This window comes from Homo sapiens, chromosome 17, assembly GCF_000001405.40.
Source record: "Homo sapiens chromosome 17, GRCh38.p14 Primary Assembly".
NCBI classification, from domain to species: Eukaryota; Metazoa; Chordata; class Mammalia; order Primates; family Hominidae; genus Homo; species Homo sapiens.
In genome coordinates this window covers 11,927,294-11,946,007 of record NC_000017.11, presented here as the reverse complement: position 1 = coordinate 11,946,007, position 18,714 = coordinate 11,927,294, and the positions used below count along the sequence as shown (strand labels likewise).

Below are 18,714 nucleotides of genomic sequence, written 5' to 3'. Positions count from 1 at the left end.
AGGCTTGTCTCCAACTCCTGACCTCAACTGATCCGCCCACCTCGGCCTCCCAAAGTGCTGAGACTACCAGGTGCCCACCACTACGCCCGGCTAATTTTTTTTTTTGTATTTTTAGTAGAGACGGGGTTTCACCATGCTAGCCAGGATGGTCTTGATCTCCTGACCTCGTGATCCAGCTGCCTCGGCCTCCCAAAGTGCTGGGATTACAGGCGTGAGCCACTGCGCCCGGCCACAAGTGCAGCTTTCTCACATGTGTATATTGCATAGTAGTGCAATTCTCACTTTTAGTGCACTTGTCACCTGAATAGTGAACACTGTACCCAATAAGTAATTTTTCATTCCTCACCCCCCTCCTTCCTTCCCACCTTTTGCCACCTCCAATATTGGTTATTCCACTTTGTATGTCTGTGTATTCCCATCGTTTAGCTCCAACAGTCCCAGAACTTTAAAGTGATTTTTTTTTTTTTTTTGAGATGGAATCTCTCTCTGTCACCCAGGCTGGAGTGCAGTGTCACAGTGTCGGCTCACTGCAGGTTATAGCATCCCAGGTTAAAGCGATTCTCCTGCTTCAGCCTCCGTAGTAGCTGGGATTACAGGCGCCCGCCACCACGCCTGGCTTATTTTTGTATTTTTAGTAGAGACGGGGTTTTGCCATGTTGGCCAGGCTGGTCTTGAACTCCTGACCTTAAGCAATCCACCTGCCTCGGCCTCCCAAAGAGCTGGGATTACAGGCATGAGCCACTGAGCCCAGCATAAAGTGATTGTTAAACTAAGAAAGTGAGGAAGGAAAACCTCAAGCAGAATTTCCTCTTCCCCTTCCCCCTGCCAGGTAAGCTGGTCAGCAAAGCCAAGCGTGCCTTCCACCAGTGTTCTGGGAAGAGCTCGGAGCTGACATTCCTCGCTGCTCCATCTCAGGGACTTGCCCCACTTAGGCCCTCCGCCTCTCACTCACAGGCCAGACCACTCTGCGAACCCCTCCTGCCAAGTCACCTGTTTTGCCTCTTTTCCCTGCTGTTCTCATTTCTGGCCAGCTCAGCTTTATCCATTCCCTAGACTTAAAACTCTCTTCTCTGAACTCTGCTGCCATCCCCTTTGCACCTTCATTTTGCCACAAATACCACTGTCTAACTTTTTTCTTTTGCCTCTTACCTTCATGCTGTGCTTCCCAAACTTGAGTCATCATAAGAATTTCCTGGCTGGTGATGAAACATTACGGACTTCCAGGCCCCACCCTTAGAGGTTGGTAGGACTGGAGCGTGGAGATGGGAACATGTGATAAAACTTCTGGAGAGTCTGAGGACCAGGCCAGCTTGGGGGATGGTCCTAAGGAGAGTCTGGGATTCATGACAGCAAGTTTGAATGGAGATTTCTCTGTTTATCTTCCATTTCGCAGTGGGACCAGTAGACAAAGGTCCCAGCTACTTTTCTATCATTGTTTTGTCACCTTTTGGAAGTTCACCCTATCACTGTTGCTCACCTGAGTGGGCCTGTAGCTGCAGCCAAACCATGTTAACTCTGAGAACAGACCGTGGGCTGCTCTGCCCTGTGCCTCTAGGAGCCCCTGCCTTTTGTGATCACCTGTCACAACCCTACCCTTCCTCCAGAACCCCCTCAATGCCACTGCTTCCCTGGGGCTTTCCTTATCCCACACACAATACTTGTTTCTTCTTTCTTCTCCCGCGTCTCTCTATGTGGCTCTTAATTAATTTCACCCTGCTTTATATCAGTGTGTGTGTCTGTTTCCCCACAAGACTGTCCTTCTGCAAGGGAAGGCTCCCTTTCCAATCTCCTCTGCACCCTCCAGCAGGCAGTGCTGAGACTTGCCCAAGAGGCTCATCAATCAACATTGCTTGAATCAGACTGAAAGAAAAGACAACTACCTCTCACACCCTGCATCTTTGCCCAGGCAAGCTCCGAGATTCATGACACCAACTGCAGCAAAGGCTCTCGAAAGAAAAATGAGTGAATGAATTGGAAGTCGAATGGGTAAACAGGCTGTGCCACATTACCCAAGTTCCATAAGCCTTTCAAATGGCAGCAAACCTACTCAAGATAGTTACTGATATATACCTGCGTACTCAGTAATGGAACTGCATTACATAACAGGCAAAGTTCTTATTTACTCTGTGAAATTTTGTACTTCATTTGATTACAAGCTGGCACAGAATTTGGAAACGTTACCAAACATTGTCCATCTTCAACATTCCCCTCCTGTCTCTCCTTCCTTATTTCCTTCTACCCATGTTGAGGTGCGGTGGAGGAAGGAGAAAGAACATTAAGAGATTAAACAAAAAAAACCCTAACCTTGATTTTTTTGTTTTTGTTTTTTTTGAGACGGAGTCTTGCTCTGTCACCCAGGCTGGAGTGCAGCGGTGCGATCTCGGCTCACTGCAAGCTCCGCCTCCCAGGTTCACGCTATTCTCCTGCCTCAGCCTCCCCAGCAACTGGGACTACAGGTGCACACCGCCACGCCTGGCTAATTTCTGCATTTTTAGTAGAGACGGGGTTTCACCGTGCTAGCCAGGGTGGTCTCGATCTCCTGACCTTGTGATCCGCCCGCCTTGGGCTCCCAAAGTGCTGGGATTACAGGCACGAGCCACCGCGCCCGGCCCTAACCTAGATTTTGCAGTCCGTTTCATCATCTATGTGACTCCATGTGAAAAAACTCATATGTGTTTTTCCTATCCACGTGTGACCCTAGGTGTTTAACCCCAAGAGACAGACATGATGAAGGCACCAGCATGTTCCATACCTGGACTTCCAGGGCTTGTCTGAGTGTTCATTTACAATTCTTTTAATAAACAAGCCAGTGTAGGCCAGGTGCAGTGGCTCACACCTATAATCCCAGCACTTTGGGAGGCTGAGGCGGGTGGATTATGAGGTCAGGAGATGGAGACCATCCTGGCTAACACGGTGAAACCCCATCTCTCCTAAAAATACAAAAAATTAGCCGGCGTGGTGGCGGGCACCTGTAGTCCCAGCTACTCGGGAGGCTGAGGCAGGAGAATGGCGTGAACCCAGGAGGTGGAGCTTGCAGTGAGCCGAGATCACACCACTGCACTCCAGCCTGGGCGACAGAGCAAGACTCTGTCTCAAAAAAAAAAAAAAAAAGAAAAAACAAGCCAATGTAAATCGACAGCAGTCACCTTCCTCAGCTCCTCAAAGGCAGCAAGAGCTTCCATTTCCTGTCATCGGAGTGAACAGTAATTAACAGGCTCTGTGCTAGGCACTTTACATCATCTCAAGGTGAGGAAAATAAACTTGTTTAAGTAACTGGTAGTAGAAATTGTAGACTCTTTCCTTGTTGACGAGAAATGTCAAAGACTGTATAACATCTTGGTTCTTGTAGACAACCTCATGGCCAGGCTGTGGTTTCTGGGGAGTGATGACTTTTGGGCACCTAGGATGCTGCAGGACAACTGCTCCCCAGCTTTCAGGTCCCCCAGTGCTCCTTCTTCCCCATAGGGGTCCATCTGTGTCCTCTAGCAATGTCCCCTCCATGCCTTACAAGACCGCGCTCACCTTTAAGCCGAGCTCCAGCTCCCTCAGTGAGCGCTGAATCTCTCTGGTGAGGATATTCATCCGGCCACACTCCTGGAAGGCAACTACAATGTAAGGGGTGCGCTCCTCCACTTTGGCCATCAGTTCTGGGATGTTAAACTCGTCTGTCACCCGCTCCAATATTTCTTCCAGAAGTGCCTTGACCTGCCCCACAGAAGGAAACACAGCGTTAAGAAAGGGCTCTATTCTCCAGAAGGAATCCATTTTCCTGCAGTGTGGGACTAGAGATGCCAATCACCCATCGTCTGCTGCCCCTCCACCCACTGACATGGCCAAACTCTTGCCTGCTTGTCGAGGTCAACTAGGTCAGGGCTGAGGACTGACTGACCACAGTAGGACCTCTTCATAGGCTGGCCAAGTTCCTGGGACTTGCATGCCTAGCATAATAAGATGAACACAGATAGCTCTCTAAGAATTTGGAGTTGAAAAACTCAGAGGCTGATCCAGTTGGCTGTGGGAATCAAACTAGAAAGCCATAAGACAGACTTGGGCCAAAAGGTGGCCCCTGTGGGCCATGTGAAGCTGAAGTGATGAGCAGCAATGACAAATCTATCTATCTATATCCAGATACAGTATATCAATATACAGTTATATACAATATCTATCTATATCCAGATACAGTATATCAATATACAGTTATATACAATATCTATCTATCTATCATCTATCTAATCTGTCATTCATCTATCCATCTATCTAATCTATCACTATCTATCTATCTATCTATCTATCTATCTATCTATCTATCTATCCGGTCATCCACTCAGTTCTGAGTTTCTATGATGCAACACTGCAGTTTCTATCCTTGAGTTCTGGAAGAAACACCCTCATCTATCATGTAAACCTCCTGTTGTACCCCACGATTCTTTTCCCCACACAAACTGTCAGCTAATTAGATCAGGGGAGCTAGGACAAGTAGGGTCTCTCTCCTGGAAAACTGGAATTGAGGCTCAGAGATTCTGAGTTAATTTGGGGCAAGCACTTGGAGGTTGAGTCTGCCATTTTGGAATAAATGAGTAAGCCCAGGAGGTCTGTCAGCAGAGAAAGAAAAATGAAAAGTGCAGACATAATAGACCACACAGCCAGCAGGTTGGGACAGAGGGAGAGAGGGGAAGGAGGGAGGGAGTGAGCGAGCGCCAGCCATTTCTGGAGTCCTGAGAGCTGAGCTCTAGGTGCCTGTGGTGGATATCTGTTTTTGTCTGTTCATTATCTCTTTTCCCTTCTAGGAACAATTCCCTATCTCCTTTGTGAAACTATGTCTTCCCCATTGTTTTATGTTTATGTTTAGTCACTGGGCCCAGTTTCCCCTGAGCCAAGTTAGGCCAATCAGATTATGTTTCCCAGGAGCACAATGATTTGAATCTCAAGCCTGGAATCCAAGGAACCACTGGCAGGATGGGGGCGCCTGGAAAGGGCAGTCTACCCTTCTTTTACCTGGGACTCTAGAGCCATCGTGATTTTTTATCTCTTCTTAGGCTGACTCCCTTGATAGAGTGAGCCATTTCTTGCCTAGTTAAGCTCTGTTGGTGTCTATAGCTTGCAGCCAAGGAGGCCTGACCGAGTTAATACAGTTCTGCCCTGCATTACCCATGTGAACATAAGCAAGTTACTTAGGCCTCAATTTTCTCCAGCTGTAAACACTTCCAAGAGTGTCTTTTTCTCCACTTGTCCCCTTTCCCAACTCCCAGAGTTGATGTGAAGATCAAATCAAATGAGCTGATGAGTGTGGCAGTCTCTGAAAGCTATGAAGAACTATATAAGTGTAAAGGATGATAAATATTCACCTTGCCTTGTATTGTTAACACACAATGCCATCTCCAGGAAAAGAGCTGATGTTAGAAAAAAGAAAGTAAAAACCAATCACTCTGTCACGAATGGGTCTTTGGTGCTGTCATAGCAAAAACTGGAATCGGATTTTAATGGTACCTGAGAGCAGCTGCTGGGGTAGAAGACAAATGGCTAAAATTATATATATATTTTTCTCTGGAGCAGAGTTTGAAAAAACAGCTCTATATCAGCGAGCTTCCATTTGGACATTATTTACAAAGAGACGAAAAGATCGTCTGGAGGTATTGTTCCAAAATACACAGGACGTGGGGACACAGAGTTCTGGTTCATCTCTGATTAGGCTGTAAAGGGTGTGGGGGCCTGAGGAGGGAGAGGGCTGATAGGGAAGGACCCAGGTCCACAGACGTATGCGGGGCCCCTCTTTTGCTCAGGGAACCCAGAGACTCTTTCAGATAGGAGGAGTGGGTTCCAAGGGACGGAGTCCACCTTATTTCCACAGACAAACACTTCTGCTTTCTTCCTTTCTGGAAAAGTAATAAATGCTTATCAGAAAAATCTAAACATTTCTGATACACATGATATTAGAAGCAAAGTCCTCCTATAGTCTTAACTCTTCCCCCTGTGGGAGAAAAACACTGTTCAACTATTGGTTTTTTGGTATATATTCCTGCAGATGCCCTTCAGTGTACATAACTCTATTCCTCTATCATCCGTCCATCCACCCACTATCCATCCATCACCCATCTACCCATCACCCATCCATCCATCCATTCATCCATCAATTATCTATCCATCATCACCCATCTACCCATCATCCATCCATCCATCCATCCATCCATCCATCCATCCATGTATCTAACATGCCAACCTCCCTTCTCACTCCTTCTCTTTAGCTATATACTAAAATCCCCAGCTTCCCTTCATATAGATGTAAACATGGGAACAGAATTGAGTCAAGAGTTCATGAGTGTATGTGGAGTGTACAACCTCTCGGTCATTTACTTCTTAACAACAAAATACTCTCTGGGCTTTGACTCTTTGCCCCTCATCTTGAGCTGACCTGCGGTGTGGACAGGAAGGAAGATAGCTCATAGGAACATGTGAGCTATGTGAGAAACACCACCATGGCCAAATACTGGGATACTGCACAATCAGATGTGCACCCAGTAACCTGCACACGTGTCCCACACAGCATTGTGCATGGCAAGTGATCACAGTTCATATCATTTCTGAAATACACAAGCACATACACACCCCATTTCTTGGGTTAGCTGGGGGAGGGGATAAGGAAATGATAAGCATTAGAACCTTCTTTGAACCTTGACTGAAGAATTCTAAGTCTATTACTTATACAGTCTCAGCCTTTTCCAGTTTTAGATCTAGGAACATTATTCATTCTGGGTGGGTTCTTCTCTTTATTTTCAAATTATACATCAAATAGTGGAATAGACTGAGTAGAGTGATATGGAGCAGCTTTCTCGAAGTATGCTCACCTCATCAAAATCACTAGGTTGCCAATGCAACCTAACCCCAGACCTCGGAGTCAGAATTTCAATCTCTCTGGCACATTCTTAGGCATATTAAAATTTGAGAAATACTATTTTGATGACATGACTCCATACCTTTATATAAAAGTCCAACTCTTTTAGTATCAGTTTGCTTTCCTAAAATCAGTCTCTAGAGGCTAAAAGTTTGATAATCTTCCCAAGGATGTTTACTTGTAAACCTAATGGCATCTCTAAATTAAAGAACCCAGCTAGGACCGGGTGCAGTGGCTCACACCTATAATCCTAGCACTTTGGGAGGTCAAAATGAGAGGATTGCTTCAGCCCAGGAGTTCAAGACTAGCCTAGGCAACATAGTGCGACCCTGTCTCTACAAAAAGTTAAAAAATTAGCAGGGCGTGGTGGTACACACCTGCAGTCCTAGCTACTCAGGAGGCTGAGGTGGAAGGATTGCTTGAGGTTAGGAGTTGCAGGCTGTAGTGAGCTGTGATTATGCCACTGAACTCTCCAGCCTGGGTGATGGAGTGAAATCTTACTCTTAGAAAAATTAAATTAAAAAAAAAATCCAGGCAGTACCATGGGGTGGATGTCAGTTGGTACAAATACATCTTTAGGAAGTTGGTTAGCTTGTCTCAGAAAAAAATTCATGGAGAAATTTCCCTTTGGTGGCCCATTCTTTTTTTGTTTTTTTTTTTTTGGAGACAGTCTTGCTCTGTCACCAGGCTGGAGTGCAGTGGCACGGTCTTGGCTCACTGCAACCTCCACCTCCCAGGTTCAAGCAATTCTCCTGCCTCAGTCTCCCGAGTAGCTGGGATTACAGGCGCCCACCACCACACCCGGCTAATTTTTGTATTTTTTAGTAGAGATGGGGTTTCACCATGTTGGCCAGGCTGGTCTCGAACTCATGACCTCATGATCTGCCCGCCTTGGCCTCCCAAAGTGCTGGGATTACAGGTGTGAGGCCCATTCTTTCTTTATCTTCAGCTACCCCCACACCAGGATCAGAGCCCCCATGTTGCCTTGGGTTGTCCTGAAACCCACACCTCACCCTGGTCTGCCTTTCTACTCCATAATTCCCTTCCACCTTCCTAAAATTTCAGGAAGTCCTGTGCTTAGTGGCAGGTAACTGTGTATTTAGAGACTCTCGGACTAGAAGCCATTCACACGAAGGGAAGGCGTTTGCATTATGAAGGACTGTGTTCTTCCCCACTGGCATCTGGTTGGTGAACTGAGGTGGGGGTGCTCAGGGGCAACCCCTTACCCATCCTTGCTTGGTTTGCCAGGGGATCAAGAAGTCACATTCAAGGTTCCCAAGCCACCACTGTTCAGCCCTGCCCTTTCTTCACTTTGGCAGAGAAGCTGAATAAAAATGGACTTTGGGTGGACTGGCAAAGAAAACTGCTGAACCCAATGGCAGGGACTTCCTATGATTTAACTGATGGCCAGCATGGTGATGACGGGAGGGGAGAGGCTCTTGGCGGTGACAGGCAAGCATCTCCAGGCTGCAGGTGGTTGGTGCTTTGTGTGTTGTCTATGCTGTGTACTGCCAAAATGGCCAGCAGGAGAAAGGTGTGCATCTATGATCCTCGGGGTCCCCCAGAACGACCTCAGGCAGTCCCCACCACACACACCTTTTCTTCTCTTGTGGCGCCCGCTCCGTCTCTGGCCTGGCTGTCCCGAGGCTGCAGCTCCAGCACAGTGCGGAAGAGCTTTTCTGAGGTTTGGGTCAGGAAGCCAATCTCTGCGTTCGGGTGGAGGCCATAGAGGTAGGGGGATTCTGGGGGCAGCTCAGCATCGATGTACTGAAAATCAAGGGCAAGCTCACTTAAAAAGAAACCAGGACGTACCTCCCATCTCCCACACCGGCTTGTCCTCTGCAGGGAGTCCATGGGCTAGTATCCCTCCTCCAGGGGACACTGCTCACCATCCCTGGTTGACTTCATCACCCTCTCCACCTATTAGTGCACCTTGACATCATCCATTTTTGTCGGCTGGACCCGTTTCCCAAAACTTCCACATTCATTCTATCATTCTCTTTTTTCTGGGAGGCTTAGATGACTTTATCTATCTCCACACCCAATGCCTCCCACTCCTCCCTGATGACTCTTTTTCCTGCAGACCAGAGGAGGACTTCTCATAGTCTTTCAAAAATACGAATCCCTCCCTAGTGATTTTACGTAAGCTCTTCTAGGATTCCAGACCTTTCCTTCTTTTCTCTCCCCTCCATCTAAATCAGATATGACAAACCTGAACATGTACATGGGATGGCACATGCAAAATAAACAAGTGAATTGGGCTTAGGACGAAGGAGGTGAGATTGGCTGCGAACTGGAGAGTTTGCGCCCCTGGTGAAAGGTATTCAAATAAAAAAAATTTTGAAACTATGTGTCACCCTAGCAGCTCCTTTCTGTGGCCAGTGCTAGTGGCTAGAGTCTGCCATGCCTAATGCCTAAAAATCCTAACCAGCGGCTAAGGCTCAGTTTTATTTTATTTTATTTTATTGTGTGTGTGTGAGACAGGCTCTCACTCTGCTGAAAAAACTAGAGTACAGTAGTGTACAGTAGAGTACACAGCTCACTAAAGCCTCCACCTCCCAGGCTCAAGTGCTTTCCACCTCAGTCTCCCAAGTAGCTGGAAATACAGGTACATGCCACCATGCTCAAGCCGATTTTTTATTTCTATTTTTTGTAGAGATGAGGTCTCACTATGTTGCCTGGGCTGGTCTCTAACTCATCAGCTCAAGTGATCCTCCAGCCTTGACTTTCCAAAGTTCTGGGATTACAGGCGGGAGCCACCGCGCCTGGCTCTGAATGTTTTGAGCGCCTCTTCATGGCTCTTTATACGATGGTGGGAAAATATCCCTCAAGTTCCGTTCCTGATATGATTTTGACGATTCCTTGGTGTTATTAACACCTAGCCTAATAGATTGCCCATTCCTCAAGGGCCGATCTGTATGTTCATTTTTGTATTTCCTCCAGCGTTCTGTGCAGGCCTGGACTCTATGTAGATGCCCTAGAACCATCTATTAACTAACACATTAAAGAGAAGTATAAGAAAGAGAGTGTACCTCAGTCATTTGGAAATGTGCAAATCGATTTCACCCTTGCTGAATAAGAAAAACAGACTTCCTTTGCCTGTTACTTGCTCCAGCCTCCTGTCGAATTATCCCATGGACACTAGGGGACGCTGTTGCACAATTTTCCCGGGAAAAGCCTTTTTGCCTTTGGTGAAGTAGTTAAAAACATTTCCTCTTATTTTCCTTAAAGAGCTTTATTGTTTTAAATCTCCTCTTATAGGTCCAATTTTTCTGGATCAAATGACTTTTACGATTTACCCTTAAGTTTAATGAATTAAAGAAATTTTTTTAAAGCTTGCAGTTAATATTCCTGTGATCAATATTTCCCTTATGTTTTATATTCAAGAGTTTTTCTAGGCATGTTCAAAAGCCTACCAATAAAAACTGCTAAAAAATATCTTTCGGGCCGGGCGCGGTGGCTCACGCCTGTAATCCCAGCACTTTGGGAGGCTGAGGTGGGAGGATCATGAGGTCAGGAGTTCGAGACCAGCCTGACCAACATGATGAAACCCCGTCTCTACTAAAAATACAAAAATTAGCTGGGCGTGGTGACGCACGCCTGTAATCCCAGCTACTCAGGAGGCTGAGGCAGGAGAATCACTTGAACCAGGGAGGCGGAGGTTGCAGTGAGCCGAGATCGCGCTATTCCACTCCAGCCTGGGTGACAGAGTGAGACTCCGTCTTATAAAAAAAAAAAAAAAAAATCTTTTGGAATGTTTTCCATGGAAGGTGAAATAGGCAAAGATGAATACTTTAAACATAGCTGTGGTAATAGTAACATAAAAGACCGAAGTAATAGTAAGAAAACCTCCATGAGGCCGGGCGTGCTGGCTCACACCTGTAATCCCAGCACTTTGGGAGGCCGAGGCAGGTGGATCACCTGAGGTTAGGAGTTCGAGACCAGCTTCGCCAACACGATGAAACCCCGTCTCCACTAAAAAATACAAAAACCGGGTGTGGTGGTGGGGGCCTGTAATCCCAGCTACTCAGGAGGCTGAGGCAGGGAGAATAGCTTGAACCTGGGAGGCGGAGGTTGCAGTGAGCCAAGATCGCACCACTGTATTCCAGCCTGGGTGACAGATCAAGACTCCGTCTCATAAAAGAAAAGAAAAGAAAGCCTTCATGAGAATGCTGACTGTGGCATACGTATGCGGTATGTGCCTGTGTTCATAGCCACCAACACGGAGTGGGAGGGGTGAGTGACCTGAGTGATCTTGGCACAAGACCATGCTCCTCCAGGGATATTTAGAATCACCCACAGAAACTTTACCAAAAGTTGGCTAAGGTCTTGCCTGAAATTTTGCTCCATGAAAAACGGCTTTGTCAGGCCAGGCGCGGCGGCTCACGCCTGTAATCCCAGCACTTTGGGAGGCCCAGGTGGGCGGATCACGAGGTCAGGAGATCAAGACCATCCTGGCTAACAGGGTGAAACCCCGTCTCTACTAAAAAAAATACAAAAATAAAATTAGCCGGGCTTGGTGGCGGGCGCCTGTAGTCCCAGCTACTCGGGAGGCTGAGGCAGGAGAATGGCGTGAACCCGGGAGGCGGAGCTTGCAGTGAGCAGAGATAGCGCCACTGCACTCCAGCCTGGGCGCCAGAGCAAGACTCCATCTCAAAAAAAAAAAAAAAAAAAAAAAAAAAATGGGTTTGTCAACATCCCAAGTGAAAACAACCAAATAACTGTCCCAGATGTTATTTGTAGAAAACAGCAACACACAGAATGACTGAACCAATCATCAAGAATCGAAAGATCTCCAAAGGCTCCATTTGATTATTAATTTGAGGCTAGAAATCCCGTATCTCTCAACTTAAACAGGGCAGGCTTGGGGCATAGGACCAGATTTGACATGAGCTCAGCTGTCTAAGCCCTTTTGCCTCAGCCCCTGCCTGCAGCCCATGGTGATGTCCCAGCAGAGGCTTCCCTGGTGGTGCAGGTCGGCGTGGGAGGAATACCCAGGGCCCTGTGAGCACCCTCACGACATCAGAAGCACAGAGCAGAGTCTCACCTGATGATAACCATTGTAGTCCATGTTGCCTGGGAGTGGGAACCCTGGGGCCAAAGACAGTTCTCCTTCTAACATTTCTGGTCGAATGAATTCCCCCAGGTAGGTTCTGCAGAGTCTTCTGTCCCAGTCATCTGTGATATGGCCTCCATACATGATCTCTCCAAACAGGTAGCGCAAATCATCATAGGGGACCTGAGTGATGGGGGAAAGAAAGAGAGGAAGGAAGAAAGACCTCCACACAGGCGTCGGGGCTGGCCTCCCATCTGGGCAGCACAGAAAGCCACAAGAGAGGGACGCTTCTTGAGATTGAGAGCAATGTCTTATTTTTCTCCATACCCTCAGTGCCCAGCAGGGTTAGGGGTGTTTGGGGAGTTCATTAAAAGCCTGAAGAAGGCCGGGCGCGGTGGCTCACGCCTGTAATTCCAGCACTTTGGGAGGCCGAGGCGGGTGGATCACCTGAGATTGGGAGTTCAAGACCAGCCTGACCAACATGGAGAAACCCCATCGCTACTAAAAATACAAAATTAGCTGGGTGTGGTGGTGCATGCCTGTAATCCCAGCTACTCGGGAGGCTGAGACAGGAGAATCTCTTGAACCCGGGAGGCGGAGGTTGTGGTGAGCTGAGGTCATGCCATTGCACTCCAGCCTGGGCAACAAGAGCGAAACTCCATCTCAAAAAAAAAGAAGAAAAAAAAAAGCTTGAAGAATTACATCAAAGAGTGAAGACAGGAAAGTTGCCAACCCCACGCCCCATATATATATGCCTTCCCTCTTTCAAGCTTTTTAACTGTGACAGTGAAGGCAGGCTCTACCTAGAAATTCTTTAAATAGGTGAATGTCAAATGGAGAAAAGTGAGGACCAGAGTACTTTTCTAATTTTCTGCCTTTAATGACAAGATTAACTGTCCCCTTTGAAAGTTCAAAGGGAATAAACAAAGCCCACAAGTTCATTGGTGTGAGACTTAGGGAGGGAGGTCACTGGAGGAAAGCCAGCAATGAAAGATTACTGTTGAGTGGGCTTCCCAGGCCCAAGGGCTGGAGACAGAAGGATTTCTCAGGGCATCTGGGCCTGGTTCGTTTTCCCCACGAGGAAGAGGTGGTGGCCCTGTTGACTCTGTGTTTGGCTCCTGAACTAGAATAACCTTGACGAGGTGAATATTCCCTTAACTGGAAGAGCACTGATTGTTAGCGAAGTTTGGGAACTTATATCAGGCGAGTGTGAAGTCTCTTCCTGCTGATCACAGTCTACCTGCCATGCTGTGAAGACATAGGTATGGTCTGGTGGGGCCCGGGACAAACTCTCATGGGACTGACTCACTGTGTGAGTCTCTAGTTAGACTTCCTGAGCGTCCATGGCTCTCACCTCACAGTTGTACTATTCTCAGCCTTTGGGTTAGTCCTGGGGTTGGCACTGCCTCATCCCACCTGTGTGGGGTGCAGCCCTTCTGTGTGCTCATGCCCCTTCTGTAGGATAGCACTGCATCATCCCTCCTTAACGTGCATACGAATTACCAGAGAATCTCGTTAAAATGCGCTGATTCAGTAAGTTTGGGTGGGACCTGAGATTCTGCATTTCTAACTAGCTCCCAGGTCCTGCCAATGATGTTGATGCATGGGCTCCGATTTGTACTATCAAGGTTTCAAATAATCTGGCTGTCAGGTAATGGGGAGTGGGGCTTGGAACATGACCATGTGTTACACTCTTAAATTATGGTCCCCGAATCAGCAGCATCTGCATCACGAGGGAGCTTGTTAGAAATGCACATTCTCAGGCCCCATCCTAGACCCCTCTGATTCACCCCTCAAAATTAAATAATTTTAACCCTCTCCCAACCTGGCTGGTCCCTGAATGTCCATGGCCTTTACCTTTGCGTTGGCCTCCAGGAAGTTGTAGAGGACATTCACAGAGATAGTGAGGTCTCCAGTGTTAAAGGGGTATGAGCGATTCCATCCCTGGGGCCCAAATTTTCGTCTTTCTGCCACCACCGCATGGAAGTAACAAAGAGCAAAGAGGATGCTCTTAAACTCCGTCTCCCGAGAACACATCTCCAGAGTGTCCTGAAATGAGAGTGTCGCTTTTAAGGTTCGCACACAACTTCTCTTATACGGGGCTGGCTAGGGTGAGGTTACAATCAGGGTTCGTGTTGGAAAACATTACCATATATTCTGGTTTGGGTTTGAGTTACAGCGAGACTACAGCCTGGGGGGAACGTGTGGAAGGGTCAGGTTAGCTGAGCATTGAATTAAGGTTTAGATTCAGGTGATAATAGGGTTTGGTTTAGGGTTCAAGTTTATGCATACGGATGTGCTAATAAAGTTCACTAATGTAGCTGATGGGGATCAGGGTGACATGCAATAAGAATGTTATGTACCGGGGTGTGGGGTGTGGGTGCACATGCCATGGCACCATCTCTAATATCTTCCCTTCCTACCATGCTTTTCTTGCCTGTTGTGGAACCTTAGCAGGTGTAATCACTGCCTGGGAGTTAAGCTGGGAAAAAGAGTACAGGGGGTACTGAATGTGTTTTGCTCCTTGAATCTTTGTGGAAGCTTCCCGCCCAGAGTTGGGCTGCTGGACTCCTACACTACAAGGGTGTCACACAGTCAGTAAAATCTTCTGAGACTCTGACTGTTACATGGTCTTCATCTTACTTTAGGCTTAAACCAGACCCCAAAGGTTTATGTTGGTTTAGGTGGCACAGTCATCCTGTTGGATGGCCCATCTCAAATAACCTGCATGACCCATCTGACACATGTGAGCTGGCAGGGCTTCTGGGAAACCTGAGATGCACTGGTACTATGACAAGATGACAACCAAGAAGAAAACCTCCCTAGCAGCTGCTGGAACCCTCTCCTTGAATTCCACCCAGGCGTGGTGTGGCAGATGGATTTTAAGGTGATCCGATGGCCTCCACTCTGCTACAATTCAGGCCTTTGGGTACTCTCCTGCCCAGGGAGGTGGAACTCCCAAGAGAGAACCAAAAAGAAATAGTGCCTTCTTGAGAAGATCAAAGAGGCCTGGGCCGCAGACTTTGACAGTACAACTTCATATACAAAGTTGGCCACCACGGGCTTGGACCTGGCTTCAAATAAATACGCTACAACATAAGCCTTGAAATTCCCCATAATGGAAACGTAGTGGTCTGCATTTGAACACTTGATATTCTGAGTCTCTCTGGAGCACAGTATTCTCAAACTTGACTGTGTATAAGAATCTCCTGGAGGGTTCATTAAAACAGATTCCTGGGCCCCAGCCCAGAGTTTCAGATTGGGGCCTAAAAATCTGCAATTTTTTTTTTTTTTTTTGGAGATGGAGTCTCACTCTGTCGCCCAGGCTGGAGTGCAGTGGCACAATCTCGGCTCACTGCAAGCTCCGCCTCCCAGGTTCACGCCATTCTCTTGCCTCAGCCTCCCAGGTAGCTGGGACGACAGAAAAATCTGCATTTCTAACAAGTTTCCAGGTGATGCTGATGCTGCTGGTCCAGGGGCCATACTTTAGGGGGTCTAACATGCAGTTACATTTCAAATCCATATCCCCACTACCTAACACCTGGATTCTTTGAACCCTTGATACTCAAGATTCATGTAGACGTCAAGTGATATCATCTGATTGACAGTATCATCTCTCTGCCTGAAGATAGCCCATCAGTGTGTGACCCAGTGTATCTTATCAATGAGATGTATAACAACGTGCCCTTCTTCATCTTGGAATATTAGGTAACAGTAAACTTGCAGAAGGCTTCCCCACATCTCTTGCCAAAGAAATGTCCTGAGCTCTACTCCCCTGGGGTTATCTGGCAATGGAGAGTGGGGTTGCCCTGAGTGGGCATCAGGTGGGAACATTTTACCCACATCAGCATTGCTCCGTAGCCCAACCAGCACCCGACTCCCTTCTGAGTTGCATGCTCTCCCCCCACCAGTTTGCATCAGCTGACTGTGAGGTGTGCTGCTGTTTTTGCCTCCCTCCCGGGGCCGTACCTGAGTGAAGTTGTCCAGGGCCTTGTGCAGGTTGGCATGCATGCCCGTGGGGGGCTCATTGGTGATCTTAATGGAGTTCTCCAGGATGCCCTGGGGGATGATGTGGCCCTCAGGGGAGGGTGCTGGCTCTGCACTCATGAAGACCCTGAACTCTGGGTGGCTGTTCTCACTGTGCTCCTCCAGCTTCTTCTCCAGGGTGCTGAGCCACTTGGCCACCAGGTGAATGTTCTAGTGGGAAGGAAGGAGCCCCCCCTCAATACAGGCATCTGCTTAGCTCTGTTAGCAGTAAATAGTTGTCAGGAAGGCAGCCAGAGGGGGGACTGGTCTTAGCATCACATAATTTTTAAAAATTGTGGTAAGACGTAACAGAAAATTTACCATCTGAAACCCTTTTTAAGTGGACAGTTAATGGCGTTACGTGCACTCACATGTTGTGCAACTCAATGACTTTTAATGGCAGAAGTGTCTTAAATCACATCATAGAAAAGAGTTCTGGGATGCCCAGTAGTGAGGACCTCCCAGTATTCTGCAGTTAAACTCTTATCTCTTGCTATCCTAAGGCTTTCCAGCATAATGTTTTTAAACTTGCCTGTGCATGGGAATAACCTGAAGGGCTTCTTAAAATACAGATTCTTGTGCCCCAGCCCAGAGTTTCAGATTCAGCAGGTCCAGGATGGGGCCTGAGAATGTGCATTTCTAACAAGCTCCCTGGTGATGCAGATGCTACTGGTCTGGAGACCACAATTTAAGAGTGTAACACGGCCAGGCACGGTGGCTAACACCTGTAATCCCAGCACTTTGGGAGGCTGAGGCAGGCGGATCACGAGGTCAGGAGATCGAGACCATCCTGGCTAACACGGTGAAACCCCGTCTCTACTAAAAATACAAAAAATTAGCTGGGCATGGTGGTGGGCGCCTGTAGTCCCAGCTACTCAGGAGGCTGAGGGAGGAGAATGACATGAACCCGGGAGTCGGAGCTTGCAGTGAGCCAAGATCACGCCACTGCACTCCAGCTTGGGCGACAGAGTGAGACTCCGTCTCAAATAAAAAAAAAAAAAAAAAAAAAAAAGGCTGTAACACTTGGTCATCTTCCAAGTCTAACTCCCCATTACCTGACAGCTAGATTATTTGAAACCTTGATGGTACAAATTGGAGCTCATGGATCAACATTGTTGGCAGTACCTGGGAGCTAGTTAGAAATGCAGAATCTAAGGTCCTGCCCAAACTTACTGAATCAGCGCCTTTTAATGAGATCCTCCGGTAATTGGTACATACGTTAACATTTGAAAGGCACTGATTTAAACTCTTTCTAGCTAGCTTTCCTGAGTCTTCTCTCTCCACTCTCCAAACCACTCTGTTAATTGTTGCCAAACTTATCTTCCTGAAACACACTGAGTCATTGCTGCTCAAAGACCAAACAAGGCTCTCTACTCTAATCCCAAGCTCCTCTGTCTGGTCTTTGAGCCTGTCTCCTCCTCCCAACGTTTGATTGCTGTCTGTCTATCTATCAAAACCTACATTTGTTTCTTACCAGTGCTTTGCAGAATGCACCTTTCACTGTAGTAAGGGGAGTCACCCGGCTTCATTGCAATGTGTTTCATTATAATGGATAGATAAAAGCTCCTTGATAAATATTTGAGGAAGTAAGCATGCAAAGCCTTAAATACACAGATCAGAGCTGAGCCCAGCACTTGGACCACAGTAATTTGGTCTTTGAGTGCTGCCTTCTCTTCTATAAGAAGAGAAATAACAATAACGTTTGCTATACTTATTTCAGAGTGGCTGCAGATAACCAAAGAAATGGATTTGAAAGGGTTTTGTAGGACTGGGTGCAGTGGCTCACATATGTAATCCCAGCACTTTGGGAGGCCAAGGCGGGTGGATTGCTTGAGGCCAGGAGTTCAATACCAGCCTGGCCAACATGGTGAAACCCCATCTCTACAAAATAAATAAATAAATGAATGAATGAATAAATAAATAAATAAATAAATAAATAAATAAAGGATTTTGTATACTGTAAAATGCTATGTAAGGGATAGTAGTAGTTGTTGAGATGAAAATTGGTGAAATTAAATAATTTACTTATAATCAAATCAATTGGAGCAGAGTGTTTAGTGGGCTACTTGAGAGCCAGGGTTTCTTTTAGCCAGCATCACCAGCAACCTACATGTGGGTAATTTGGCTGCTCCTTTAGAAACTCCAAGTTCTGCTACTGGGCAGGTCTAGGAGAAGGAATGTCTGTTGCTTGTGTATAGAACCCTGGGGTGGATTCAGAGATCCTCGAGGCTGCCCCACAGGGTTGATGGGCTTGGGTTGGGAAATCCACACAATAGCTCCTACAGCCAGGAAGGAAGAGCGGGAAGACTGTGAGCCTTGCTTTCTCACCCAGGACCAGAGAAGCCAGCTCTCCCAGAAGAGAAGCCCTAGTTCATCTGGGTCAGGGTCCTCAGGCAGCATTTCCCAAAAGTGTGCCATGGGATGTTAAAAGATGTTAGATCCATAAAGAAGGTCTGTGTTCCTGCACACCTACAACCATCAGATCTTCGACAAACCTGACAAAAACAAGCAATGGCGAAAGGATTCCCTATTTAATAAATGGTGCTGGGAGAACTGGCTAGCCATATGCAAACAAATGAAACTAGACTCCTTCCTTATACCTTATAAAAAATTAACTCAACACAGATTAAAGACTTAAACATAAAATCCAAAACTATAAGAACCCTAGAAGAAAATCTAGCAATATCAGTCAGGACATAGGCATGGGCAAAGATTTTATGACAAAAATGCTAAAAGCAATTGC

At 47.0% G+C, this 18,714-nt stretch overlaps 1 protein-coding gene across 5 annotated transcripts in view, besides 1 other annotated feature; it reads right to left on the bottom strand.

The window, feature by feature from the left end:
* Positions 1-18,714, bottom strand: part of DNAH9 (dynein axonemal heavy chain 9) — a 371,279-nt gene that overhangs the window by 23,741 nt on the left and 328,824 nt on the right. For 3 of the 5 annotated variants that reach the window (XM_011523703.3, XM_017024292.3, XM_017024293.2), the window contains 6 exons: positions 15,915-16,142; positions 13,803-13,994; positions 11,937-12,128; positions 8,486-8,656; positions 5,346-5,390; positions 3,523-3,705 (listed from right to left, as the gene is read on the bottom strand). In XM_011523703.3, the coding sequence (XP_011522005.1) occupies positions 3,523-3,705; positions 5,346-5,390; positions 8,486-8,656; positions 11,937-12,128; positions 13,803-13,994; positions 15,915-16,142 (1,011 nt within the window). The remainder of the gene's footprint in view (positions 1-3,522; positions 3,706-5,345; positions 5,391-8,485; positions 8,657-11,936; positions 12,129-13,802; positions 13,995-15,914; positions 16,143-18,714) is intronic. The other 2 variants (NM_001372.4, NM_004662.2) reach the window with 1 other exon arrangement.
* Positions 16,973-17,545: an enhancer, noted in NCBI's record as "NANOG hESC enhancer chr17:11831780-11832352 (GRCh37/hg19 assembly coordinates)". NCBI's record gives its function as "activates a minimal SCP1, AML or CMV promoter by ChIP-STARR-seq in naive H9 embryonic stem cells {active_cell/tissue: H9 hESC(naive)}" and the evidence as "EXISTENCE:reporter gene assay evidence [ECO:0000049][PMID:30033119]".